This window comes from Homo sapiens, chromosome 13 (assembly GCF_000001405.40).
Source record: "Homo sapiens chromosome 13, GRCh38.p14 Primary Assembly".
NCBI lineage: Eukaryota > Metazoa > Chordata > Mammalia > Primates > Hominidae > Homo > Homo sapiens.
In genome coordinates this window covers 24740267-24768079 of record NC_000013.11, presented here as the reverse complement: position 1 = coordinate 24768079, position 27813 = coordinate 24740267, and the positions used below count along the sequence as shown (strand labels likewise).

At 46.2% G+C, this 27813-nt stretch overlaps 1 protein-coding gene and 3 pseudogenes across 14 annotated transcripts in view, besides 2 other annotated features; 1 reads left to right on the top strand and 3 right to left on the bottom strand.

The window, feature by feature from the left end:
• Positions 1-20313, bottom strand: part of RNF17 (ring finger protein 17) — a 140815-nt gene extending 120502 nt beyond the window's left edge. For 6 of the 14 annotated variants that reach the window (XM_011535156.3, XM_011535152.3, XM_011535158.3 and 3 more), the window contains exons 1-6: positions 20146-20313; positions 16866-16908; positions 15254-16517; positions 10937-11241; positions 3776-3959; positions 714-808 (exon numbers count right to left, since the gene is read on the bottom strand). In XM_011535156.3, coding sequence (XP_011533458.1) covers positions 714-808; positions 3776-3959; positions 10937-10963 — 306 coding nt within the window. In that variant the 5' untranslated portion in view covers positions 10964-11241; positions 15254-16517; positions 16866-16908; positions 20146-20313. Of the gene's footprint in view, positions 1-713; positions 809-3450; positions 3583-3686; positions 3960-10936; positions 11242-15253; positions 16518-16865; positions 16909-20145 lie in introns of those variants that run through there. The other 8 variants (XM_006719849.3, NM_031277.3, NM_001184993.2 and 5 more) reach the window with 6 other exon arrangements.
• ANKRD20A10P (ankyrin repeat domain 20 family member A10, pseudogene) lies at positions 15747-16314 on the top strand (annotated as a pseudogene).
• Positions 20223-20272: an enhancer, noted in NCBI's record as "active region_7479". NCBI's record gives its function as "activates an Ori minimal core promoter by ATAC-STARR-seq in GM12878 lymphoblastoid cells {active_cell/tissue: GM12878}" and the evidence as "EXISTENCE:reporter gene assay evidence [ECO:0000049][PMID:35858748]".
• Positions 21961-22814, bottom strand: IRX1P1 (iroquois homeobox 1 pseudogene 1; annotated as a pseudogene).
• On the bottom strand, positions 24854-25410 carry CLUHP9 (clustered mitochondria homolog pseudogene 9; annotated as a pseudogene).
• Positions 25814-26635: an enhancer, noted in NCBI's record as "H3K4me1 hESC enhancer chr13:25315583-25316404 (GRCh37/hg19 assembly coordinates)". NCBI's record gives its function as "activates a minimal SCP1, AML or CMV promoter by ChIP-STARR-seq in naive H9 embryonic stem cells {active_cell/tissue: H9 hESC(naive)}" and the evidence as "EXISTENCE:reporter gene assay evidence [ECO:0000049][PMID:30033119]".

Below are 27813 nucleotides of genomic sequence, written 5' to 3'. Positions count from 1 at the left end.
CATCTCCCAAATGTACATTTGATGACACACAAAGGTTGAGGGGCAGGGGGGGAGTTCAAAATGTGGTTGCATGGATTGGTGGGTAAAACAGGGGCTAGGGTTTTTAAAGGAATATACACCATTAAAATAAACAAAAGACATAATTTTCCACAGAAGTCACCAAAGAATCAAAATATGTAGGCCGATAAGTGTATGACTTTAGCGCCTTTTATTTTTCCTGATCACTTTACACAATTATAAAATGGATAGAAAAAGTTTTATCTTTTGTTAGGTTTCTTTGCTTAAAGATTCAGCAGCAAAAATGCAAGATTTTAGGGTTTTTTTTTTTTTTTTGAGATGGAGTCTTGCTCTGTCGCCAGACTGGAGTGCAGTGGTGCAATCTTGGCTCACTGCAGCCTCCACCTCCCAGGTTCAAGCGATTCTCCTGCTTCAGGCTACCGAGCAGCTGGGACTACAGGTGTGCACCACTAGGTCCAGCAAATTTTTGTATTTTTAGTAGAGACGGGGTTTCCCCATGTTGGCCAAGGTGGTCTTGATCTCTTGATCTCGTGATCTGCCCGCCTCAGCCTCCAAAAGTGCTGGGATTACAGGCGTCAGCCACCACGCCCGGCCAACTTTTTAGTTTCTAACTAGAAGTACGTTTTACTACTGTAGTATTTTTACCATTAACATTAGGTTGTGATATGTTTCATCTGAAAAATTATAACACTTACCTCACAATCAGGGCATATAATTGTGGTGCATTCTTCAGTCATTAACAAGCATAGTTCACAAAAAGCATGTCCACATTGAAGTTCACAATGGTGACCTATTGATGAAATTCTTAATTATTATTTTGATGATGATGATGATTATTGAGACAGGGTCTTGCTCTGTTGCCCAAGCTGGAGTGTAGTGGCACCAGCTCACTGCAGCCTCCACCTCTTGGGCTCAAGTGATCCTCCTACCTCAGCCTCCCAAGTAGCTGGGACTATAGGTGTGTCCCAACACACCCGGCTAATTTTACTGAAGAAATTCTATTGTGATTAAACTGCCCACAGTGTGTTAATGTTGAATGGGCAATACTGATACAAGGGAAATTCAAAGAGGATCCTACTGTACAGGAAAAGATACCTACTACAGTTTGAAATGGTTGACTTATTGAATATAAATCAGGAGTAACCAACTATTCAGGTCAGGAGGGAGAAAAATCAAGAAGAAAAACCAAGAAGAGCTATGTAATAGCATTTGCATTAATTCAGATGGCTATTTTGTACCTAGAATACTTTGAATCTGCCATATCTTACACAAAGTGCTCTGACACATTTTATTTGTTATTTGTAAATATCACAGTTAAGTGGGCTGGAGATGAAATAGCATTTTGGAGATTTGGTTAACTAAATGGTATAATCCAGACTCCTATCTAGCTCTGTTTCCAAGTCTAACATTCTTTCTGATTGATCATACTGCCCTCTACTACTTTATATTTCCCATCCTGTGAAGAGGTCAGGAAGGGCCAAAATGAGACACTGGCAAGACCGTGCTGTTAGAATTATTTAAGACACTGGCAAGGCCAGAAGCCAGATGCTACTATTATCACATATCTACAACTCACATTTTCACAAACTTAGCATTTATGAAAGGAAATATCGTAACTTGATTGAAAACCTAACATCATGATTAAATGCTCTAAGAATTTGAAGTTTATAATAAATAACATTTGTTTTAGCTATATAATTTCAAAAGGTTGTCATTTTTAAAGTTTTGCAAGAAAACTGAAAAGGGAAAAAAACTAGATAAAAATCAGTCATCTTTTACTAGCAAAATAATTATAGAGTTCTTGCTGAATTATAATCGCATTAATTTTATTTATTTATTTATTCATCCATTCATTCACTCATTCTGAGACGGACCACGATCTCGGTTCACTGCCAACTCTGCCTCCTGAGTTCATGCTATTCTCCTGCCTCGGCCTCCGGAGTAGCTGAGATTACAGGTGTGCGTCAGCACGCCTAGCTAATTTTTTTGTATTTTTAGTAGAGATGGGATTTCACCATGTTGCCTAGGCTGGTCTTGATCTCCCGACCTCAAGTGATCCGCCCACCTCGGCCTCCCAAAGTGCTGGGACTATAGGCGTGAGCCACTGTGCCCGGCCTTGCATTAATTGTATTTTTTAAAAACTTTACAAGTTTCCTATCCAACTGAAATACCTGAAACTTGCTTACAACCATGCTAAATTTTAAAACCCTATTTAACTTCCAGGGATAATATTGCCAAAGAAATAAAAACACTTAACTATTATAAAATTTCTGATACTGAATAACTCAAAATAACTTGTGGTGAATTACAGCTTAAAAAGCACTTTCAGGATTCTATATACATAACCACTACTTCTCCAGTTTAGTTTTTCTAAGCATTATAATACTAATGTATGGAAGAAGTACTCATTTTAAAAGGTTGTGTTCTAGAACTTTATTCCGTAATTTTAATTTCATTCAAAAATGGAAATTTTCTACGTAACGGTAGCAGTGATCTAAACCCCAAGTAGGAGAAACTTGGTTCTCCACTGAAATCACAACTTTTTCTGCAGAGGCTCACATCTCACAGAGTCCATCTTGCCAAGACTGAGAAAACTGATCGAATGACCTTAACTTTGAAAGTATAAACATTAAACAGTTACGCCAGGTAATACGAATTTTCAGTAGCTCCAGGAATTGAGATTCAACAACTCAGCTGTATTAAGAGCACACTAAGGTATTTTAAGTTACATTAAAATAACTTGAACCGGCCGGGCGCGGTGGCTCACGCCTGTAATCCCAGCACTTTGGGAGGCCAAGACGGGCGGATCACGAGGTCAGGAGATCGAGACCATCCTGGCTAACACGGTGAAACCCTGTCTCTACTAAATATACAAAAAATTAGCCGGGCGTGGTGGCGGGCGCCTGTAGTCCCAGCTACTCCAGAGGCTGAGACAGGAGAATGGCGTGAACCTGGGAGGCGGAGCTTGCAGTGAGCCGAGATCGCGCCACTGCACTCCAGCCTGGGCTACAGAGCGAGACTCCAACTCAAAGAAAAAAATAATAATAAATAACTTGAACCTGTGATCACTTGAGTAGATTGTAGGTGAACAGACCAATAATAGTGCAGTGTATTTTTCCCCTCACGTATAAAGACCAACACACACACACACACACACACACACACACACACACCCCACAAGGTGCACAAAAGAAACTATCATTTTCCAAACAGTGTTTTAGGCCAGTGTGAGCCATAATGTAAAAAACAAACAAAAAAACCCCCACAGAAACAACAAAATGCTAACAACAACAACAAAATCCAAAACCATTTCACAATGGTCTACTTGTTACTCCTACAACAAAAACTACAGGAGAAAATCAAGTTTCGTTCCTTCTTGATGACAAAACAATGGGCTACATTTTATGTCTACTTTTGCATGCACCCGCTAACCTGCCTTGTGAGGAGTAGATTAAAGCCACCCGGGCCCCCATCCTCCCGGCTGGAGGGTCGGTGAGGCCTGGATGGGTAATTGGAGAAAGCCGTGACAGGCGCAGGTGCTGCCCTTAACCAACCCAAGCACTGCCCTCTTAGAGGTCGGGTGCAGCTCGCGGGAGGCCTGTGACGCAGTTTCTGGTGACACCAGGATTGGATGCAGCTGACCAAGCCTCACGCGCCCACCAGCTCACCTGGCCCCCAGCGCTCCCTCCAGGCTGCCTCCCCGCTAGGTGGGCCCTTGGGCTCCTCACCGGATGATCTGGATACCCTCCTTCCACACCTGGTGCACTGGATTTCAGCGGCACCCCAGGGCTGACTCTTCCTCCCCATTCGCTGGTAGGAAGACCTAGAAGGCCCAGTCTTCGAAGCCTCTGCCGCCATCGCTGTCTCTTTCTTCTGGAACAACCGCCGAGTGCGAGTCCCGGCGGCCCTCGCGGCAGCGACCAATCATTGGAGGCCAGCCCCTGCAGATAGCCAAACAGTGGGCCGGGAGATTAAAGCCCGCCCCCAAGCTCGCTCCTGATGGGGCTGGGGCTGTTTTCCGTTATCCTGGGAGGTACCACTCCTAGAAGGGGCGCCTTGTGGCCGTTGAGGACCGTTCGTTTTTACGTTCTACCCAAAGAGTCACCACTTTAGTGCTTTTAGTCATCACAAATTAAAATTTCGCATATTATTACTTACATTGTGAGTGACTTTATAGATAATCATTTGGATTGAAACAATCCCCTTTCCCTATTACGTGTCAGGGCCAGAAGCCCTAAACCTGTGTGCTTCGGGCATCCAGGGCTTGGCCAATAGCAGCTGGAGTGGAGAAGCTAATGAGAAGCTATCGTTGGGGTAGATTCAGTGAACGCTTTCGAATTAAGGAGTGTTCATCATTACTAACTGCTGTTGAGCCTAATAATATACAAGGCAGCGTGCCAAGAGTGGTTGGGGATGCTAAGAATTTATGAACTAGCAGGTTTCTGCTTGAGAGATACATAACTCCTTAAAAAAACCCAGTAACTTCCGCCAAAATAAGTGTTATGTACCGGACCTGTGTTAGAGACAGTAAGAATTAGCCTTCTGGGCCCGGCGCGGTGGCTCACGCCTGTAATGCCAGCACTTTGGGAGGCCAGGGCGGGCAGATCACGAGGTCAGGAGATCGAGACCATCCTGGCTAACATGGTGAAACCCTGTCTCTACTAAAAATACAAAAAAAAAAAAAAAAAAAAATTAGCCGGACGTGGCGGTGGGCGCCTGTAGTTCCAGCTACTTGGGAGGCTGAGGCAGGAGAATGGCGTGAACCTGGGAGGCGGAGCTTGCAGTGAGCCGAGATCATACCACTGCACTCCAGTCTGGGCGACAGAGCGAGACTGCGTCTCAAAAAAAAAAAAAAAAGAGTTGAAGCAACTTGTCCAAGCATAGTTCACAAAAAGCAATGAAGAAATGAAGTCAATATGGTCTACGGTGGTATGAAAACTCTTCGTAGAGGATATAGGGTTTGCACTAGACCTTACAACCTAGGTAGTACTTACAGGAGTAAACAAGAACTAAGGGATTCCAAGAATAAAGAACACATCAGCGAGGGAAGGTAGATGTGAGGGAAGGTAGATGGAAGACACAGTGACTTCTTGAGAATTTAAAGACCATTTAGCCAGAGTATGAGTTTCCTTAAAGTAAGCTTCTTTGGAGAGGTGTGTCAGGGAAGAATTTCGGAGAATCTCGAGTGTAAGGCTGAGGAGTTTGGACTTTACTCTTTAAGCAGTAGAGTGCATGAGACGTTTTGTGAGCAAGGAATGAAGTAATCTAGTAGAAAGGTGGCAGGTGTATTTCAAACAAAACACCTGGAGGTGGCACGGTTGCCTTTTGCTGCTAAGAATAAAGCCTGCCCATATTCCTCATTTTCTTTTCTCTCTACACTGTGTGTGGGTAACTAGAAACTGTGAAGTAAGTATTCTCTTGAAAGGCTCACTTCGGCTCAAAAATCTTTGTAATTTGTTGTCTTCGAGAGAAAAGTACTGCTTCCCTAAATTACCCTCATTCTACTACTCATCCAATAGTTTCCACTACTAATCCATGATGGAACTGAGTACTAATCAAGCCAATATTCTCATGTAACATGTTGACTCTTCTACAGTTTTGTGAGTATTATTCCCTATTCCCCTCATCTGGAATACCTACTGTTCACTCTTCATCAATTCATATTCTCTTTTTTTTTTTTTTTTTTTTTTTTAGAAATGGAGTCTTGCTCTGTCGCCCAGGCTGGAGTGCAATGGCGAGATCTCAGCTCACTGCAACCTTGGTCTCCGGGTTCAAGCAATTCTCCTGTCTCAGCCTCCCCAGTAACTGGGACTACAGGCGCATGCCACCACGCCCAGCTGATTTTTTGTATTTTAGTATTGACTGGGTTTCACTGTGTTGCACAGGCTGCTCTCAAACTCCTGAGCTCAGGCAGTCTGCCCGCCTTAGGCCTCCCAAAGTGCTAGGATTACAGGCGTGAGCCACCGCGTCCGGCCCATATTCTCCTTATCCTTCCTGGATCAGCTTTAGAAGCACTTTCTCCTTTAAACCTTCACATTTCTCTCCACACTTAATGCTATTCTAGCATGTAGCAAGCCTCTTTTTCCTCTAGGATAGCTGTACTGTAATTTGAATAATGACAATCTCATTGCATAGGTGTTCATCGTGGGCCATAATGTGGATATTTAATGTGGGTCTTGAGTTTCATCAGAGATGCCTTTGGTAATCCCAGAAATTGAATTAATCTTGGATAAATCAGGGCCAGTGAGAAATACACTGATAGATGATTATACCACATTTGTTCATTTCTTAGCACTTACCAAGAACCCTCAAATAGAGCAGCCAGAAATGTCTTCTTAACATTCAATTTAGGTTGTTTAAATCCTTTGTTTGGAACCCTTTAATGGCTTCCTATGAATTACAACAAAACCTTAATGGCCTTGGAGGTTTGCCCTCTGCCTGCCTCTCTACCAGTGCCTTTCTAGTGCTCTAAAATCATCTCCTAAACAGCTGAGAAATGAGATAAACAGGGCTCCCTTCTTGAATACACAATTTTTATAAATTGCATCTGACCCACAGTGAATGTCTTTTAGAAAGTTTCACCAAAACTAAAGAGAAATTCAGAGATCAAATAGCAGCAGCAGATCAGAGAAAGAATGTAGAACTATGCAGTCACAGAGCTAACCTGCAGGCTGCCCTTAGCCCTGTGCACCTGAAATCAAATCCATGGTCAAAGTTAGGTTTCTTTGTTGTTGTTAAGCATATAACATATTTATTCCCAACATAAGAGTGGGATTAATAGAATAACACCAAGCCAAAATATTAATATTCTAAAACCAAATTATTGAATAGAAACATATAACATATTTATTCCCACCATAAGAGTGGGATTAATAGAATAACACCAAGCCAGAATTTTAATATTCTAAAACCAAATTAATCTATTGAATAGACGTATTTCAACATTTAACTAAGTTAACCCATTCAGTTACCTTCTCGAAAATATACACAACAAATAATTTATACTGTTTCCCATAATGGCTGTACTAATTTACATTCCCACTAACTGTATAAGGGTTCCCTTTTCTCCATATCCTTGCCAACAGTTGTTATCTTTTGTCTTTTTTTTTAAATAATCTCCATTCTAATACCGTCTGTAATTTCTCATTGTGGTTTTAATTTGCATTTCCCTGATGATTAGTGACATTGAGCATGCTTTCATATACCTATTAGCCATTTGTATGTCATCTTTTGAGAAATGTCTATTTAGGTCCTTTGCTCACTTTCTGTTTGAGTTGTTTTCTTCCTACTGAGTTGTTTATGTTCCTTATGTATTTTGGATATTAACCCCTTACCAGATGTATAGTTTGCAAATATTTTCTCCCATTCCATAGGCTCTTTACTTTGCTGACTGTTTCCTTTGCTATGCAGAGTTTTCTGTTAATAGTTCGATGTAATCCTGTTTGTCTATTTTTGCTTTTGTTGCCTGTGCTTTTGTTGTCATATCCAAAAAAATCATTCTCCAGACCAGTGACGTAGAGCTTTCCCACTATTTTCTTCTAGCAGTTTTACAGTTTCAGGTCTTTTAAATCTCTAATCTATTTTGAGTTGATTTTTGCATATAATGTGAGATAATGATCTAATTTCATTCTTCTGCATGTGGATATCTAGTTTTCCCAGCATTGGAATGACTTTTAAAAGGTATTCATTCTCTGTTAACATTTCTTTCTGGAAAACTTGTATTACTTGTATTTATATTCACATTCTTTCAAGTTTATTTTCCCCGTTGGATAATGTGACTAGGCCCTTTTTATCATAATCATTTTTCTCAGATATCCAGTTAACATACATTTTGTTTTACTCTTTAAGAGTCTCAATCACTACATCTTGTGTATATGTGTATGCATCTCTGTGTAAAACTAAGACTATATATATATTTTTTGAGATGGAGTCTTGCTCTGTCACCCAGGCTGGCGTGCAGTGGCGTGATCTCAGCTCGCTGCAACCTCTGCCTCCCGGGTTCAAGCAATTCTCCTGCCTCAGCCTCCCAAATAGCTGGGATTACAGGCGCGCTCCCCACGCCTGGCTAATTTTTTGTATTTTTAGTAGAGAAGGGGTTTCACCATGTTGGCCAGGCTGGTCTCGAACTCCTGACCTCAGGTTATCCACCCGCCTCATCCTCCCAAAGTGCTGGGATTACAGGCGTGAGCCACCGTGCCTGGCTGCGACTACATTTATTCTTATAGAAACCAATCTTGGGTCTGAGACACAATGACTTTACAGTCTCCTAAAGTTTTGTTATTGTTTTCTTTTTAACTTGGTGGTAGGAAATTCTTATCTCTCCCTCTCTCATTCCTTCACTCCCTTCCTTTTTTTCTTTCTTTGCTTAAATTACCTTTTTGGTAGGCTTCTGAGATTTCTGCCCATTCTGCAACCATTTTTGACTAGAGATAGTCCTATGATACATCTTTCTGAGAAAGTTTACCCTGCTGTTTAAATTTCTAGAGATGACAACTACAACATCTTGTGATAGCTTTAGAAACTCTTGCTTCCCTCACCCTTATTTTGACCATTTCTTGATTCCTCTGTTTAACTAATTTAGAATGTGCATGCTGGAGGCATAATACCTTGAGGGTTCTGAAAATAAATTATGTATGTGGTTAGCAATTTATTTTGGTCCAGAAGGAACTACTACAGTTATTACATCTTGGTTCCATATGCTACATTAACATATTTTATGTCCCAAAGGAATTTTTAAATTGTGTTTGTGGGTTATGCTACCAACAATGTAATATTAGCTTTTCTCCCAGCTTACTTTTCCCCATGAGAAGTATTCACTCAGAAGTTACAGTCTTGACCTCTTCTGTCTCCATAACTCCAGAGGTGTATGTCATGTGTCCTCACATTCATGGGCAATCCAGATCTCTTTTATTCCAGAGCTACTCAGCCACTCAATTCTAATTTAGAATGTAAGTGTTGTTTTTTTTTTTTTTTTTTTTTTTTGGAGACACAGTCTTGCTCTGTCGCCAGGCTGGAGTGCAGTGGCACGATCTCAGTTCACTGCAACTTCTGCTGCCCAGGTTCAAGTGATTCCCCTGGCTCAGCCTCCCGAGTAAGTAGCTGGGACTACAGGCACACACCACCACGCCCGGCTAATTTTTTGTATTTTAATAGAGACGGGGTTTCACGATGTTGGCCAGGATGGTCTTGGATCTCCTGACCTTGTGATCCGCCCACCTTGGCCTCCCGAAGTGCTAGGATTACAAGCGTGAGCCACCGCGCCCAGCCGAAGGTAAGTTGTTTTTGATAGTGGACATCTATCAACTCTGACTTCTATTTCTTTTTTATTTTGCCTAGTCATGGTAAAGATGCTTGCTCCAAAAATCAACCTTTTCTTCTTTGGCTCACAGAACTCAGAGATACAATATACAAATACCATATGCAATGGTACTAAAATTTAGTGGTTAATCCCTGGTAGCTCACTTTAAAAGGGCTATCACGTCTTCAGCCTTTGTGCTTTGTATTGGGTGAGATTCAGGTTATTAAGTGCTCTGAGACAAGCTGATCTCCTTCTGTATCAGCTTCCAATTAGAACCTTCTTCTTATACCAGTCATAGATGTCATATCTATGGTGTATCTATTTTTTAAATATATGTTTTTCAGATATCCTCATCACTATTACAGAAGTTATTAGTCATGATGTCTATCATCATAAAAAGGGTTTATATTTAGCATGATAACGCATGGAACAATTGATTATAAAATAAATAAGGTAAAAATTTGAGGTGGGTGGTCAGAGACCAGGGGAATCAATAAAGAATAAAGGGCAGATGGAAAGGGACAAAGAATGGGGAATGAAATGATCTTCCTGGAAAGTTTTATTAATCCATTCTCACACTGCTATAAAGAAATACCTGAAACTGGGTAATTTACAAATAAAAGAGGTTTAATTGGCTCATGGTTCTGCAGGCTTTACAGAAAGCATAGTGGATTCTTCCAGGGAGGCCTCAGGCAACTTACAATCATGGTGGAAAGTGAGGGGAAGCTGGCGTGTCTTACATGGTGGGAGCAGGAGGAAGATCTCATGAGAACACTATCAGGAGACAGCACCAAAGAGGCGGTGCTAAACCATTCATGAAGGATCCACCCCCATGATCCAATCACCTGCACCAGACCCCACCTCCAACATTGGGGATTACAATTTGACATGAGATTTGGGTGGGGACACCAATCAAAACCATATAAAAAGTGAAACATCAGAGCAGGAGGGGATGTTTTGTGTTCACAGAACTGCCCAAGTGGAGAAGAGGAAATACAGAAAGCATTATGTCATTCAAAATTTTGTATATTTTGAAAACATTTATAGAAATACTGAATATATAACAAAATATCCCCTAAAATATTTCTGCTCATAGATTTTTCCAACTATTATATGTTCTTTATACTTAAGAATATTGTCGGCCAGGCACAGTGGCTCATGCCTGTAATCTCAGCACTTTGGGAGGCTGAGGCCGGCAGATTGCCTGAGGTCAGGAATTCGAGACCAGCCTGGCTAACATGGTGAAACCCCGTCTCTATTAAAAATACAAAAATTAGCCAGGCATGGTGGCACACACCTGTAGTCCCACCTACTCAGGAGGCTGAGGCAGGAGACTCACTTCAACCCAGGAGGCGGAGGTTGCAGTGAGCCAAGAACACGCCACTGTACTCCAGCCTGGGTGACAGAGTGAAACTCCACCTCAAGGAAAAAAAAAAAAAAAAGAATATTGTCCTGGCAGAGCCCTGAATATGATTGTATGCTTATCAAGTACAGTAGAATTTCAGCATGGGATTTGTAGTTAGGAAGAATAAAGTGCAGATGGGGAGGGATGAAAGGACTGTTCTGTATCTCTTTTACTTCCTTTTTTCCTAGAATCTAACACAGAAGATATAAATTCACCTTTTCATTGTGAAACGAGGCTTTCATTCTTGTTCTGGAACATGGCAGCAATCATTCTCCAGTTAGACCTAAATGATTGAATTGCAAGGTGAACTGTCTTGGTGGCTAATTCATCTTCCCTCACCTCCAGCACCCTCTTTTCCCAAGATGAAGCCATGTTCTTTTGTAAGGAACTGTATCTACTATCAAGTGGCCTGGAAATTAAGAGGTCCAATGTGTCTTCCAAGTCCTTGTTTCTATTTGGTATCATGATGTCTTTCACTGCTACCTCGCTGATCTGTTTTCCAAGGCTATACAAAGGAGGACTGCAAAAATGAAGGGAATGGCAGAACAGTGTTACATATGGGGGAAGGCTTCGGTCGATTTTAAGTTATCAGGAAATAGTTTTCTAGCTAATGGGTTGTCAAATTATTTGCATCAGAACCTTTTATCTGGTTGATAAAAGGTAAGCTCTGTACTGACTAGCAATGGAAAGGGAACGGATGCCACAAGGACCTGCTTTAAAACCAACATCAACCTCCAGAAGTGGATCTGAGTGGTTTGATTTATGCCCATGACATACCCAAGTCTGGAGAAAGTAAGTTCAAAGGAGGACAAAAATGTATGTAAACTAAGTAATAAAGAAAAAAAAAACCCAACAGAATTCAAGCTATACATTTTCGGGATTCGCTATGACTTCCACAGACACAGAAAACAAAACGAGGAAGAATTATGATCAATTTATTTGATCAGCTCAAGAAACTATATTTTTTCATGTAGTCAAATTTTAATATTTATTTTAGCAGACAATATGTGAGTAATTTCTTCTACTAATCATTTCTGCTATTTATAAAGTTTATGCTAAATATTTGATGTTTTATATATTCATATATTACTTTTTGGCACTTACTGAAAATGTCATCAGTTAGCTAATAATGTCTGCCAGAAAATCTTCCATATTTTTATGACATTATTTTATAAAAAGTAAAAAAGATATTTACATGTGACTTTACCAATCAAAAGTATGATATCAAATGGGTACATTCAGGAAATGAGTTAAGCTACTAAAGAGAGAAGATACTTATTTAATGCCAGTAATTAATTCAATATACAGAAAATGACTAAATTCCACAACTATTTACAACATTAAAATAATGTAAATTGTTACTTGTAAGTAATAGCAAAACATGTCGAATACTGGTGATTTCAAATGTGTTTGCTTTACATACTATTTTAACTAGGAATGACTTTACCTATAACTAAAATATGACTACTGAAGGTGAAACAACATAATTATCTAAACCTATATAGCAATACTATAAAGCAATATTAGATCCATGAATAAAGTAATTTGGCTCCTTGTGGGCAATTTTTTTATGACCTGTAGGAACACCTTATAAAGTAACCTAGAAAGAAAAATGTGATTCAATTCAATTGTATTTGACAATTAATAGAACACCTTGTCCAAAGTCTAGGCAGATAATTTCAGAGACGAAACTTTTCATAAAACCAAACCTAATCCTTTGCAAAAACTTTCAGAAATAAAAAGCAAGTATTTTCCAAAACTCTATCCGGGTGAATTTAACATAAAAGAGCTTAACTAGGTTTCAAGATGCAGAGCCAGAAGGATCATCGATGTAATCCAGTATGGAATTTATTACATACTTATATGTTCTTGATTAATCTATATAAGGGTTTTCCCATATACATATTATAAAATATTGAACAATTCATATGTTCCAATCAGTGTGAATAAGCTACCAATTTTGAAAAATTTGTAATCATGGTGAGACAAACTCTTAACTACTGCTAGTGGCAATACCTCTTGGTGTAATCCTTTTGGAGAGTAAGCTGACAAAACATTTAAAAAGACAGCCATGTTTGTTCCCACTAATTCAGTAATTTCAGCTTTGAGAATACTTCCACAGGAAATGATCAAAAACCAAACAAACAAAAATGAAAACTATATCATAACAGTGTTTATTGTTAATAAAACAGAAAATAGGAAGTAATTTAAATCCATACCAATCTGTAACTGGCTTAGATCACAGTATATCAATTTAAGAAACACAGCAGTCAAATGGAAAAGGACAAATATAGATATTATATACCTATATAGGAAAATATATGTGATATATAAGTGAAAACAGCATACTACTAAATTATATGTAGTTCTCGGCATGTGCAAAAACTAGAATGTAATTATGTAACTATATAAATTATATATGGGAAAAAAGATTGAATAATGCAATCTTTTTTTTTTTTTTTTAAGACAGGGTCTTACTCTGTCACCCAGTTTGGAGTGCAGTGCCACCATCATGGCTTACTGTTGCCTGGACTTCCAGGGCTCAAGCTATTCTCCTGCCTCAGCCTCCCAAGTAGCTGAGGCTATAGGCACAGGCCACTACACCTGGCTAATTTTATTTTATTTTATTTCTGCAGAGATGGTGGCTCACCATGTTGTCCAGGCTAGTCTCAAACCCTGGTCTCAAGCGATCTGCCCAGCCTCAGCCTCCCAAAGTGCGGGACTACAGGTATGAGCCACCATGCCTGGCAGCAATCTTTATTGAATAATACATTCGTGGGTAGGAACAGGGAGGACTGTTTTTACTCCAAGCATCATATAATGTTGTGGTGGGAGATGCATACTTGTCTCCTCAGACGTCTTCTGATTGCATACCACCTTTGTGCAAAGCAGAAGGTCCTGAAAGAAAATGAAACAGAAGCACAGAGAGATGCAGAGGCAAGAAACAGAGAGGTGCTGCTTGCCTTTCTAAAGGTGTTCTGATGCTTTACATGTGAGACCTGGCCTGTATGTCTACTCCTGGAGTCTGTGAAAAAGACAAAAGCAAAAACAAAACTCTTGTGTCCTTATTATAAATTCCTTTAGTTTGACTTAGACCAGTTTGAACTGGATTAAACCAAGAATCAAAACTAAGACAGTTTTAATAATTTCTTTTTCCTTTTTTTCTATTTATTTTATTTTATTTTTTTTTTAATTTTATTTTTGAGACAGTCTGGCTCTGTCGCCCAGGCTGGAGTGCAATGGTGCGATCTCGGCTCACTGCAACTTCCGCCTCCCGGGTTCAAGTGATTCTCCTGCCTCAGCCTCCCAAGTAGCTGGGATTACAGGCACCCATCACGACACCTGGCTAACTTTTGTATTTTTAGTAGAGTCGGGGGTTTTACCATGTTGGCCAGGCTGGTCTTGAACTCCTGACCTCAGGTGAGCCCCCTGCCTCGGGCTCCCAAAGAGCTGGGATTACAGGCATGAGCCACCACGCCCGGCCAGTTTTCATATTTCTATCACAATCTTTAACTTGTATTTTTTAAAAGAATCTGTACTCCACTGTACTCCAGCATGTGCAACAGAGCAAGACTGTCTCAAAAAAACAAAACAAAACAAAACATTTTTAATGGGGGACAAGATCCTCTATATTGATTTCACTATCTGCTAAGAGCCACAGTGGCCTAAGAAATTCCATGTACAACACAATCCACAACCTTTTGCTCCACAAATGACCCTTCTACTCTAGCTTAATTGGTCTTATTACCCACAGATATTCTCAGACCCATCTCAGGCCTAGAATTGCCTCCATCTCCTCTCTCTTCCTCAACTCCTTGCCTTTCTTCCAGGTAAGCACAGTTCATGGACTGAGTCAGTCCCAACGTCCCTGGCCATCAGGTAAGGTTCCCCCTCTGCCTCCCCAAGCACTAACTGGCTCTCCTGCCCTTTGAGCACCAAACTATTCAGCACTGAAGTGTCTCTTTTAATACAGGTCATGTGTGATGCTAGATTGTTTATTAAGTATCAGGAGGCCACGTGTTTCCAGAGCCAAACAGCATCCCACACTTAGGTTATCAATACATAGAAGAACTTTTAGTTCATTTCTTCAGTTACATCCCCTATTCTTCTTCACATGAAAATTTAAAAAGGGATCACAAATATTAGTCATCTGATTTATGATGCTTCAGAAGTTCTATTTTGCCAGAACCTTCTTTTTTAGCATCAACATTGTAATTATCTTTTCAGTTAGATTAGAAAGTCTGATTGGAGGGCCCCTTATATCATCAGCCACATCCCCCATCCCTGACACTCATTAAAGAAAGAAATGTCCCTTTCAGATTTGACCTGCATGCACAGAACTTCTTGCCCAAGGAGAAGAATATATCTGGGCAGTGGCCTGGGCGAGGGGGAGTAGCATGAGATGATGGGGGCTAACGAGGGAGGGTGGGAGGACAGAAGCCAGATCAAGTAGGGCCACGCAGGCCACGCCGAAGATTCTGGTAATGGGAAATGGCTAAAGGTCTAAGCAGGGAACAAACAATCCAACTTACATTTAAGACTACTCTGGCTGTCATCTGGAGCAGGGCTCCCCCACCCCTGGACCAGTATCATCCCTGGCCTGTTAAGAACCTGGCAGCACAGCAAGAGCGAGCATTACCACCTGAGCTCCACTTCCTGTCAGATCAGCGGCTTCCATCCACAGTGCAGGATGAGGCAGCCGCAGCCTCGGCGGGCCATCTATGTTCCTCCAAATGACATCCTTTAATTATCTTGATGGCCAAAGAACATTCCTTTGTGTATATATATCAGAGTTTCTTGATCCCTTCATCTGTGGATGGGCAGGAGATAAAGCTTTTTGGAGTCCACATGCCTGAGGTCACGCAGTGTGGGACTTGCTCCACCAGGCTCATTTTCTTGGACCTAATGTCCTCTGGGTTTCTCCATGTGGCTGCGAATGACAGGATTTCCCAAAGCTTTATGGCTGAAGCATACTCTGTGTGTATCTGTATGGCAGTTTCTCTATCCCTTCAGCTGTGGATGGACAGGGCTGCTGTACGTTTGGCCTGTGCCAATGGCCATGTGGAAGTGGGGACTCTCCTGGTGAACTGAAAATGCCACATTGACATTGGTGATAAACAAAATGGGATGCCTTTGAGGAGGCTGTACATTGCCAGGAAGAGATTTGTGGCATCGTTCTGCTGGAACGTGGATGTCTACAGCAACACTGCTCTCCACTATGCTGTCCTATAATGAGAGTACATTCCTGGTAGAAAAACTATTTTCCCATGATACGGATATTGAAGTGCTGAACAATGATGGAAACACACCACTTTTACTTGCTGCAGTTTGCAAAAGACAGCAAATGCTGGAATTTTTAGTGAAGAAACAAGCAAATGCACATGCTGTTGATAGGTTGAGAGGAACAGCCTTCACGCCTGCTGTACATTATGGCTCGTTAGGTATAGTTGGCATTCTTCAACAAAATATTACTGTCTTTATTCAAGATATGTATGGACAGACAGCAAACAATTATGCTATTTGTGGTGTTTTGACTAGCATTCAACAACAAATTTTGCAACATAAAAAAAAAGATACTTGAAAATGGTCTTCAAAATGACAATCCAGAAGCATCAAAGAATGCAAGTTTGAGAGAAGGAGGAGCAAGTGCAGAAGATTCAGGGAGTTCTGACAAATCTGCATTCAGCATTTTCAAACAACTGTGTGTTGATTCATGCCGTAAACTAGATGATGAAGACTTGACTTTTACTACCAAGCAGTATATCCCTGAGACTGCTTCAGAGTCTTTACTTGAACCTTCATATAAAAAAGAAAAAAAATATGGTAAAAGTAGAAGTGTCTCCTGTAAAACATCTTTCCTTGAAGCCTACCACCGAAATGGAAGAGTCTGTTGTGAAGAATGCAGTAAAAAGAAAGGACGTATAAACATCCAGAGCAGAACAAGACTTAGAAGTGACTTCAAAGGAAGAACAAGAAAGGCCTGAGAAAAGTGAAAATAAATAACCACAGGTTGAAGGAGGAAGAAGCACAAAAGTAAAAAAAAATATATATATATATATACAAGTATCAGAAAACCTATATAATAGTACATCTGCTGACGATGATGATGGATCAATGCAACAAAATCAAGGTGCGAAAACTTACCATCAGCAATTTCCCAGGAAAGAGAAAGACGAGTATGACAGGCCTGCGAAGAAAGCGTCAAAAGAAAAAGGTCAAAAAGCGAACACATTTAAGGATGGCCTTGATGACTTAATTTGGCCATCTGAACAATACAAAATTCTCTGAGAGAACTTCTTGTCTCATGGAGTTTACTTTTTAGGGTATTGAATTTAATTCCAGCTTTAGAAAGTTGTTCAGTAACTTATTGTTATCTTTTGCCTCAAAAAAAAGTGTGCCAAAGGACCTAAGCCAAACACAGCATCAGATAAAGGAAAGCAAGACTATGTAGACGAGTGGATATCTCAACTACAACATGAAAATCTGTAGCTTGAACAGCAACTAGATGGTGCTCATAAGAAAGGGGATAATGAACAAATAGTAATTAATATCCAAGGCTGCTGTTTCGAGAGTGAAAAAGAAGGTCTGCTAGAAGAGAAAAATAAAGAATTAATCAATGAATGCCATCATTTAAAAGACTGTTTCAGTATAAAAAACAGAAATCAGAAGGCGAAGTAAGTATCAAGAAAAATAAATATTTTCAAGCTCCTGGAGAGAAAATTTAAATATTTGGTTATGGTTACATGTTAAACCTAGTTGAATATAAAAATAAGTAGATGAAAAAGATGTTTACCATACTGTATAATTCCATTTACATGAAACATCTGGAACAGACAAATGTATAGAGACAGAAAGTAGATCAATGTTTGCATAGGGCTGGGGTGGAAATGTGTAGTGACTGCTAATGGGCATGAGGCATCTTCTTGGAGTGATGAAAATGTTCTAAAGTTGGACTGTAGTGATGGTTGCATGACTCAGTAAATTTACTAATAATCTTTGAACTGTATGTTAAAACAGATAAATTCTATAGTGTATAAATCATGTTTCAGTAAAGCTGTTTTAATAAAAAACCAAAAGCCAAAACCAAACAAACAAAAAGGAATGTTAAAGAAATCTCTGACAGGCCACAGTGTGCCATCAAAATTTTGTGACATGAATTATAAATTATGTAGTTTTTATTTTTTCTGAAGTAGCGATAATCTGAAGAAAAAAATTTAATGAGAATTTTCACACCAGAGCAAACCCAGAAATGATAAGTCAATGAAAATGAGCTTAAGGCAGAGTCCCTTGTGAAAAACAGAGCAATTGGCCATGCATGGTGACTCACGCCTGTAATCCCAGCACTTCGGGAGGCCAAGGTAGGTGGATCACTTGAGGTAAGGAGTTTGAGATCAGCCTGACCAACACGGCGAAACTCCGTCTCTACTAAAAATACAAAAAAATTAGCTGGGTGTGGTGTCGCATGCCTGTAGTCCTAGCTACTTGGGAGCCTGAGGCACAAGAATCGTTTGAACCTGGACAGCAGAGGTTGCAGTGAGCCGACATTGCACCACTGCACTGCAGCCTGGGCGAAAGAGACAGACTCCATCTCAATAAAAAACGAAACAAAACAAAACAAAAAAGAGCAATTAATAACAAACTGGAGGTCCAGCATTTCTTCTCATCCTTTTGTCTGGCCATTAGCTTTTGGGTTCTCAATAATGGAAGTTTTCTCTGAGTTCAGTTTCTCTGGGTCCAACTCAATGATCTCATATTCCTTTTGAAATGAGGCATATAGTCAAAAGCTCATTGCATGGGTTAGACATTGTTTTTTAACTGCAGAGAGAAAAAGAATAAGGGAAATTGATTCTAAAATCTTAAGCAATTGTTTTACTCAGAAAGTTCTAGGCCAGCTGGATGTGGTGTTGCACACCAGTGGTCCCAGCTACTTGGGAGGCTGAGGAAGGAGAATTGCTTGAACCCGGGAGGGGAGGTTGCAGTGAGCTGAGATAGCACCACAGCACTCCAGCCTGGACAACAGAGTGAGACTCTGTCTCAAAAAAAAAAAAAAAGAAAGAAAGAAAGAAAAAAGAAAGTTCTAATGTTTGAACTGTGCTGCTGCACTCTTCATCTTTCTGCAAGTCAGCTGGAATCCTGTATATTGCTGAGAATATCAAATCAAAATTGAGTAACAATAGGTTCAGTAATTTTTAAAAATTCCCTCAAATCAAATGTTGTGCAAAAATAGATGAACTTAAGGGAAATAATTTTAAGGTGAGCAAGGTACACTTCTCTTCCAGTACATTTTAATTTTAAAAGGAATCTTGGCTGGGCGCAGTGACTCACGCCTGTAATCCCAGCACTTTGGGAGGCCAAGGTGGGTGGATCATTTGAGGTCAGGAGTTCACCACCAGGCTGGCCAACATGGTGAAACCCTGTTTCTACTAAAAAAGTACAAAAAAATTAGCCGGGCATGGTGGCACATGCCTGTAATCCCAGCTACTCAGGAGGCTGAGGCAGGAGAATCGCTTGGACCCGGGAGGCGGAGGTTGCAGTGAGCCAAGATCACGCCGTTCGTTGCACTCCAGCCTGGGTGACAGAGTGAGACCCTGTCTCAAAAAAAAAACAAAAAACAAAAAAAACCACCACCAACAACAAAAACCTTTTAGTTCTTATTACACTTATGAGGAATAAACCCTTGGCACAGCTTGTTGCAAAACACTTATCCCTGGATATGTTTTATCCTGTATCTCCACATAGACATTTCAGTCTCACTGCAAGTCACCTTACCATTTTACTCGTTGGTTAAAACAAAATGAAAACACAAAAGGATGCAGATTAAATCTGCAAAATAAGAGATTACCAAAATAAATTACGTGTGAAAAGGTTACACTAAATCCTTTTTGTTGTTTTTGTCTTGAACATTCACTATTGAACTTGAACAAGCTTCTGCCACCACCGGCAGTTACAGCTAACATACTTTTGTAGATTTTCTATTCAAACCCATTTCTAAGTCACAGGCTATCTGGGCTATGAGCCGCATGTGCCCCAGGTGTAAATCAAATGAAGGCTTAATTACTGCCACTTTTGATGTGTATCTAATTCGACCTTCTACCCTCATTAGCAGAGGGCTGTGGCTCCACTTGGTTGTGGAGAGGTTTCCCAAAGCCACAGGGTGTCACGATAACTCAATTAGGGGTGAATAATTCAAGGACAGAGTGCTTTCTTCCAGGACCCTGACCCTCGCTTCCTGCCTGGAGTCCGGAGCTGCGTGGTTCGCGGGCTGGAAAGAAAATGTTAAAGCTCGGATCAGTGCGGATGCGAGAGACAGATGTCAGGTCCAGCCCGGAGCGGGAGGGAAGTCCAGCAGCCCCGCCCCGGCAGCAGGGCCAGGCCCGACTGTGGTTCCGACGCCGGTACCGGGCCGAGGCTTGCCTCCTCTCACCTGAACCAGGCTGGGTAGGGCCCGAGCACGGGGGCCTTGGTGTCCGTACCAGGAACCGCTTTAGCCAACCTGGGGCTGCCTTTAGAGCCCCTGCGGCTTCCACCTTCTCTCCCGAGGTTTGTGCGCCCTGGCTGGAAATGCTGCGTTGGGCGGCCAGGCCGGCCGTTTGCGCGCAAACCGAAACTCAGCTAAGGGCTGTTCCATGGCGCGCGCCTCGCACCTGCTTGCCCAGAAGGGAGCGCGCCCGTTTGCAGCAGGGCCCGTGCCCCGCCGTGCCCCGCCGTGCGCCTGTGTGGCTAAGACCCCTGCTGCGCGTGCGCGCGGGTGTGACCCGCGTCCGCGGAGTTTGTGACGTCCGGGAGACTGCATGTACCTTCAGCCGTCCTCCCTTCAAACGCACGTCGACACAGTGTCACCTCCTCAAGCCATAGGGTGCCGAGTCTAAAGCACAGGGCCGCCCCATGCCCCTCTCCCAAGGGCCGCTCTGTCTTGCTCCATCTCACTTCAGGGCCCCAGTCCCCACTGATCCAGGCCTGCCTGCGGGAGCTCTGTTATTGGCACCAGTGAAGAGCAGCACCGTGAGAGGATGGTTCCAGGGCATGGGAGAGGCCCCTGATCCCTAGGATGTTCTGGCGTCAAAAGGAAGACAGGACGCGAAGATAACAGATTGTCTAAGCAGCTGTGTTCTCTGGAAACAGGATCAGAATTGGGCAAACCACACCCCAGCTGGCATACCGAAAATTATTTCAAAACCCTATTAGATAAGCTGTGCGTTCCTTCAATGCGTTTACCGCAGCATAAACGCGCACTGCGAGCTGGCCATACCCAGCGAGAGGCGCAGAGTGCGCTGAAGGGGGGCGGGAGCGGCGCCGCGGGCGCGGTCCAGCAGTAGAGCCTTGGGAAGAGGTCGCCGGCCTGCGCGGCTCCCTCCTGGGGAAAAACTCCGGTCTCCTCAGCTCGCCCAGAGCCCAGGCCTGGCGGATGGAGCACTCTCCATAACCATCGCACGACCCCCACAGCTTCCCCGCCGCGCTCCGCCGCCGCCAGTGCCCCCAAGCCCGTTCCCTCCCCGGGGCGAAAGCCAACAGCACCCACTGGTCGCCTGCGGGCTGCGAGGGCGGCTTTCACCGCTGCGCGGCGCATCCAGCCTTGGGACGAGGCCCCTCTCGGCAAGGAATCTGAAGAGGTCCAGTGTTGGGACGGGGGACACGTGGTAGGGGCGCCCAGGGGCTCAGGTCTCCTGTCCCCGCCTCCCCGCTCTCCCCACGCGCAGGCAGGCCCGCGGGTGGAGCGCAGCTCTCTGGGAGAGCACGAGGGCCTTCGCCTGGCTTTGCAAATTCAGGAAGGAGAAGACCCAGGGCTCGAGGCCACTGCCGCGCGCCCTTCCCTGCCCATGATGATCCTCACGACAGTCCCCACCACCTTCGCCAACGCCCGCCGGCCCCTCAAGGAGAACGCGGTGACGTGGGGAGCGCACAGCAAGGACCAGGAGGACGGAGGCCTTTTCAGCAGCGACACTGAGGGCGACCCCGAGAAGGCAGAGATTGACCCGGAGGAGCATCCATCTCCACAAGACCAACACGCACCATGGCGACCACAGCCCATTCTCCCTGCGCACCCCCACACCTCGCCAGGCCTCTCTAATCTCAGCCGGGGTCCAAGTGAACTTGGCATCAGGAGCTGCGCCTGGGAACGCGCGGAGCTGCGGGCCGGGGCCTGGTCTCGGTCTCCGCGGAGCGCCCCTGACCACCGCGACGGGCGGCTGCGGTGGTGGTGGCGCAGGAAGGGGAGGCCTCGGGAAGCCACACAGTGGGACAGGGATCCCGGAGCGAGGAAGGCCCCCTCCGTCCAGCTGGAGCCCTTGCCGGCGTGGCGGCAGTGCAGTCCGTGGCTGCGCGGGAAAGCCGGCTGTGGCGGAGGCGCGGGCTGGGGACCCTGCGCGCCGGGGTGGCCCACGGGCAGCGGCGTAAGCAAAGCGGTGGGCGGGCCCTGCGGGCGCGAGGCTGCCCTAGGCAGCCACCAGATCTTGGACTTCCCCGCGTGGCTCACCCTGCAGGCCGCCCGCTGCAGCGCTGGGGCTAACCGGCGCCTGCAGCCAGGCTCTGGGACCTCCTTGGCCAGACCCAAGAGCGAGCCTTGGGGTTGAGCACGTTGGCGCTGCCAGCCGGGAGCCCTGGTTCCGGGTGAGGGCGGCAGGGGCGCATGTTCCTCAGTCCTGTCTTCGTCGCCCTCGTTGTTCTGGTCGCCATCGTGGGTGTTGGTCTTATGGAGATGCATGCTCTCCAGGTCAATCTCTGCCTTCTCGGGGTCGCCCTCAGTGTCGCTGTCGAAGAGGCCTCCGTGCTCCTGGTCCTTGCTGTGCGCGCCCCACTTCACCGTGCTCTACTTGAGGTGCCGGTGGGCGTTGGTGAAGCTGGTGGGGACTGGCGTGAGGGTCATCTTGGTGATGGTGGCCAGCATTCTCTCCTCGCCTTTGGTGGGGAAGGGGTTCTTGCGGTGCCCCTTGAGCCAGACCTTGAGAGTGCTTGTGCTCTCGCACGCGGCTTTCTCGGGTCACCTGGAGATCCCCTTACTCGAACTGGCCATAGGGACAATGAGCCGGTACAGTGTGGGCCGAGAAGGTGGCAGGGTGCACCCCAGGGTTGCCCTTGAGTTTATCCTGCGAGCCCTTCAGCCACAGGGCAGAGCCAGAGAGGAGAGAGAGGAGGGAGGTGGAGAGAGAGAAAAAGAGAGAGTAAGATATGAGTCCCCGAAGCCGAAGCTGGGAAAGTCAGGAGCACCCGCCTGTGGACTAGAGGGGGCCTCCCTGGCGCTTTGCAGGGGAGAGGGCCCTGTTCTGCTTCCTAGAGCAGGAAGCCCTCTCAGCCCACCCACCCGAGTCCACTGCTGTGGGAAAAGGGGAATCAGAACCACTAGCTGACTCCAAGAACTGCCCTTTCACTGACCATGGAGATCTTATTTTTTCCCCCCACTCTAGAAAAGTTCCAAAAACCACACCTCTCCAGAAGAGCATGCAGGAGTTCTGCTCCCTACGTGCTCCCTAGGCCACCCTTGGTCCCCATTAACAACATCTCAAGAGACCCATCTTTCCAAGTTTTTATCTTACACTAGGAGATGAAAAAAAGTTTTCAACTAGGGTGATAAAACTTGCAAGCCCCCACGCACCCCATGACCCCTCCCTCACCAAGCCAGAGGTTTGGCAGGAGAGCAAAAAGGCAGCCACATCTTTCAGCAGCTGTTCCTGGTTCCAAAACGTCATCTTGGCAGGACTCAGGGAAGTGAACCCCTGCCTGGAAGAGGAGCAGAGAAGCTTGAATGAGGCAGAAGGGAGGCAGGGGGTGGTAAGACAGATGCTGTCTGGGGCTGGCAGGCGCCACACTCACATGGCTGGACAGGCACACCAGCACCGAGGGCCAAAGATGCTCCCCCAAAGAGGCTCTGTCTCACCCCACCGGGCTCCAGTGCCAACCAGCCCCCACCAGTTGCCTGATAAGATGTCCAGGTTGGAGGGCCTTCTGTGGAAGGCCAGGCTGCTGATGGAGCTGACTCCCTTGCACACGTTGAGGATCACTTCCTGGTGTCGAGGGTCTACTGTGGGGACAGGGCACATTGGGAGGTGGCCCACCTCCACCATTGGAGGAGTGGCTGCGTGAATCTCACCCCACAGCTCCCTGTGGAGGCATCTCCCTGCCTCTCTCAGAGGCTGGGTCATGAGCGATGACTGACAGTGACCAGCTGCCAGGACAGGCTGGGTGCTCTCCCCTGGCATCCAGAGCAACCCCACCTGTGCTGTCCTCTGCAGCAATGCTCTCAGCCAGCCCCTTCCCCTTGGCCCGGCTGCTAGCACTTCTGCCCTTCTCAATTCCTGCCTTGTGTCCCAGAGGGTCTTCAAGCTAAGACTCCAAGGAAGGAAGAGTGCTATTTTCCAGGGAGGTAGGGTGCTCCAGCCTGCTGGCTTTCTGCTGCATCAGGCTGCAGGGCAGCAGCTTCATGAAGAGGAGGCACTTGGAGTACACCAGACAGGGTGGAGCAGGAGATGGTAGAGGGGGATTCGGAAGCTTTGCTGGCCTGGCAGCGTCCTGGCCTGCTGTGGCTGAGGAATGTGGGGCTGCACAACCTGCAGGCATGGGGACATATCCTGCCCAGTGTGCACTTGCATGGGCGTGCACACACCCAACAGCATCAGGTCACAGCAAAACCCAACATCTACCCAGCCAGGAAGAAGACAGCTATAGTATGAAGGGGGCAGAGAGGGGCTCCCCATTCAGGCTGGGGCTCTCAACAGTGACAGGAATGCCACTGGCATTTGAGAAAGAGTTATTTCTGGCTTGGGACATTTGACATGGCCAACTCCTAAGCATGAAACACCAGTGGCACCAACACCCAGTGTCCCACCTGCCCACCCTTGACATGGTGATATTCACAGCCACCCAGTAGATTTCCACGTGCTCCTTAAGGGAACAGTACTGCCTCAGCTGGGTCACTGGTTTGGCTGCTCTCTAGTTTGCAACCAACGTAGATCTCTGCATTTGGGAGACTGACCACAGGGTGGGTGGGAGATGGGAAGGGGGCTCTAGTGAGTGTGGCTTCTTCGCTTTCCAAAGCTTCTCTCTTCAAGGATCCAGCCCCAGGACAACCCAGTGTGGCCATGCTCTCTGGCAGGATGTAGCCTGCTCTAGCTATAGCCTCCCAGGGCTGCTCCTCACCAGTGCTCTACCAAGCCACTCACTTGCTCCTGGTGCAGGCAGCAGAGCCCCTGCCGGTGGGCATGGGGGAAGCTGGCACAGCATCTGCGTACTGGGCACGGGCAGGAAGCTGTGGTCAGGGGAAGATGCACAGCAGGAGGAGGGTATACTGGTGCCTGTTTTGCCAGTGACACCCACCAAGAAGCAGAGCTCTACCTCCTCATCTCAATAATTGAATACACAGTGCCTCAGAATCTTGAGGTCTAACTTGAGTGACCCAGCAGCTCCAGGTACTGTGGCTGTGACGCCACCCTCTTGCCAAAGTCAGTGGAACCATAGATGAAGCTCTGCTTCTGGTTCCACTCCAAGATGCCGGGAAGATGATGGACTGGGCCATGACCTGGTAGCCACAGTTATTCACCATCACTGTGCCCAGCGTGCACAGCCCCTCCAGATGCACCACCTTGTATGTGTGCGTGCCATTCAGGTGGGTGGTGGGTGCTATGGAGGCCACCACATCCCTGCCAAAATCCTTACAGTAGTACTAGATGTCAAAGCCCAAGCTGGAGAAAATGTCATGGCAACCCCAATCCCCTAGCAAGTGACAAGCCCCATCACGTTGTGAAAACCTGCCTGACTCTTACAACAGAGCAGACAGGAGCAGGAGGGGCAGAAGTGGATCAGCTTTCAAGAAGCAGCAAGAGGGAGGGCGGGTGGGAGGAACCTCCCCCACTGGGTCCCTGAGAAAAGCTATGCTGGCTGCCAAGACCGGAGTGAGGGGAGAAGCAGGAAGGGCTTCCGCCCAATGTGCAGCAGCAGTTTTGAGCTGAGATCCCAGAAGCCGGGAGCCAGAGATCTGGACCTAGATGGGCAGCCTGTCCTTGGCATGTCTGGGATGGGAGGCATGGGGGAGGGGAGGGAAGACAAGGAAAGGTAGCCCCCGTTCTTCCTCCCCAGCCCAGGGAACCCTCCACCCCCATGGGTAAGATTTCAAAGTAATATGGCTGGTCCCCCAGGGACCTCCTATCACCGAGACATCCTGTCCTGCCCCTCCTTCTTCCTCCAAAGAACCCTGAACGTCTTCCTATCTCTGGATGAAAGCCAAGTGACCTCCCCAGCAAGAGGGTAGCCAACTGGTTCACGAGGCTCCCACTGCCCACCTGGCGCCACCCTCTCCTGGACTCTGGAGTCTCAGGATGGCCATGGTAGCGAAGTAGCCAGCTTTCTGGCCCAGGCCTGGCACTGCCTGTGTCCATCATTCCAGTCTCTGCCACTACCCTTGCCCTAATGCAGTCGTTGGTCCCCGGGCTGGAGCTCGAGCTGACTTTGTGTTTCAGTGGGACCAGGCCTGCTGGGGTGGCCCCAGGAAGGGTGCACTCCCCGTGACTTGCATCTAACTCTAGGTTGGCCCAAAGGACAGCTGTGGGCCAGGAGGCCTCAGTGGCTCCAGGATACCAGGGGGACCTGCTCCCTGCACTCAGGCCCACCTGCCTATAGCCTCAGAAAGGGGGCTGCTGCTGGTAAGGATGCTGGAAGGTAGGAGAGCCCAGCATTTGGGGTACATGGACCTGCAAAGATCGAGGGCCTAGGAGATTGGCTGACAGGGGCAGGCCCAGCAAGGGGGTCCTCTCCTCAGCTCCCACCCCAGGGGGACGGGCAGCTGCTTTGGCCAGCTGCTGGCAACAGCTGGTGCAGACCCAGTCCAAGGCCACGAGGCGCTACCCCAGTCCACCAGTCTCAGACACTGAGTGCCTTGTCTGCTTCCTGGGCTAAATGGCTGGCTGGGGCCTCTGGCTCCTGCTGCCCCCTGTAGGTGGCCCAGCAGGCACCTCCTTCCCGTGAGTCACTCATTCTGGTGGGAGGGAGGGAGATAGACACCCCCACCCCGTCTCCCAGAGGACAACTGCCCCCGTGCCCCAGTCCTCTGAACTCCACTAAGAAGCTGGCAGGCTCTACCTTTCCATCCTCACAGCCCCTGCCCTGCCAGGATGGAATCAAGTCTCTCCAGGGGGAACAGAGCTGGCAGCAAGAGGCTGAGGGCTGTGTGGCTGGGGGGAAGGAGCATGCCCAGCTCGCCAGGGTGTCTCCCCAGGGCCTCTGCCATGTGGTCAGGGCCCAGTCAGGACGGCTCCGCTTCCACCCTCACCAGGGTGAGAGGAGCCAGGCTCTCCCTCCGTCCCCGCCCCTTCAGGCCCAGGGACCCAGGCAGAACCTGTGTTTCTACATAGCTCCATGCAGGGTTCTGGACCTCACACAACGATCATAGGGAAGAAGGGCCAGGCCTAGGCAGAACCCCTCTCCCAACCCCTCCCCAAACACACCCTCACCTTACAGAGAGAGAAGCGGCACAGGACGGCCAGACAGTGACCCAGAAGAGTATTGACAACCGCCCCCATTCTGGTTACCCTACAGTCAATATCACACTAGGCCCAGCCCATAGCTGGTCCCTAAATCGGCTCGACCACCCCATCTCACCCAAGGAAATGGGCTCCACAGGGCAGGGAAGCAGCTGCCCAAGGTCACAGAGGCGAGGGGCAGCCAAGCCAGGTCAAGAAACATTCAGATATGTCCGATGGCCAAGCCCATGCCTTTGAGTGCCACCCCCACTGAGCACAGGCCAGGCGGTCCTGCTCCCTGGGACCAGGCTGCAGCACCCAAATGTCAGCAGAACCCCCTTCCTCCTCCAGGCCTCAGGACCTGCCCAGGGGCAGATCTAGCCCAGTCATAGGACCTGCAGAAACCTCTACGCCTTGGGCCAGTACCCCCTCCTCTCATGTTCCAGGGCCACCTCTGAGGATCTGAGCTTTAAGGAAAGGGAAAAAGGAGATCCTCTCTGGAGAACAGGCCAGGGCTGCCCTCGTAGCACTCTGCACACATGCAGCTTGAACACGTGCCTCCCCAGCCTTAATGAAAGAAATTAGGGTGAAGAGATGAAGCACACCCTTGTCCTGGCCTGGGAGCACAGAAAGCCCACACAACAGAC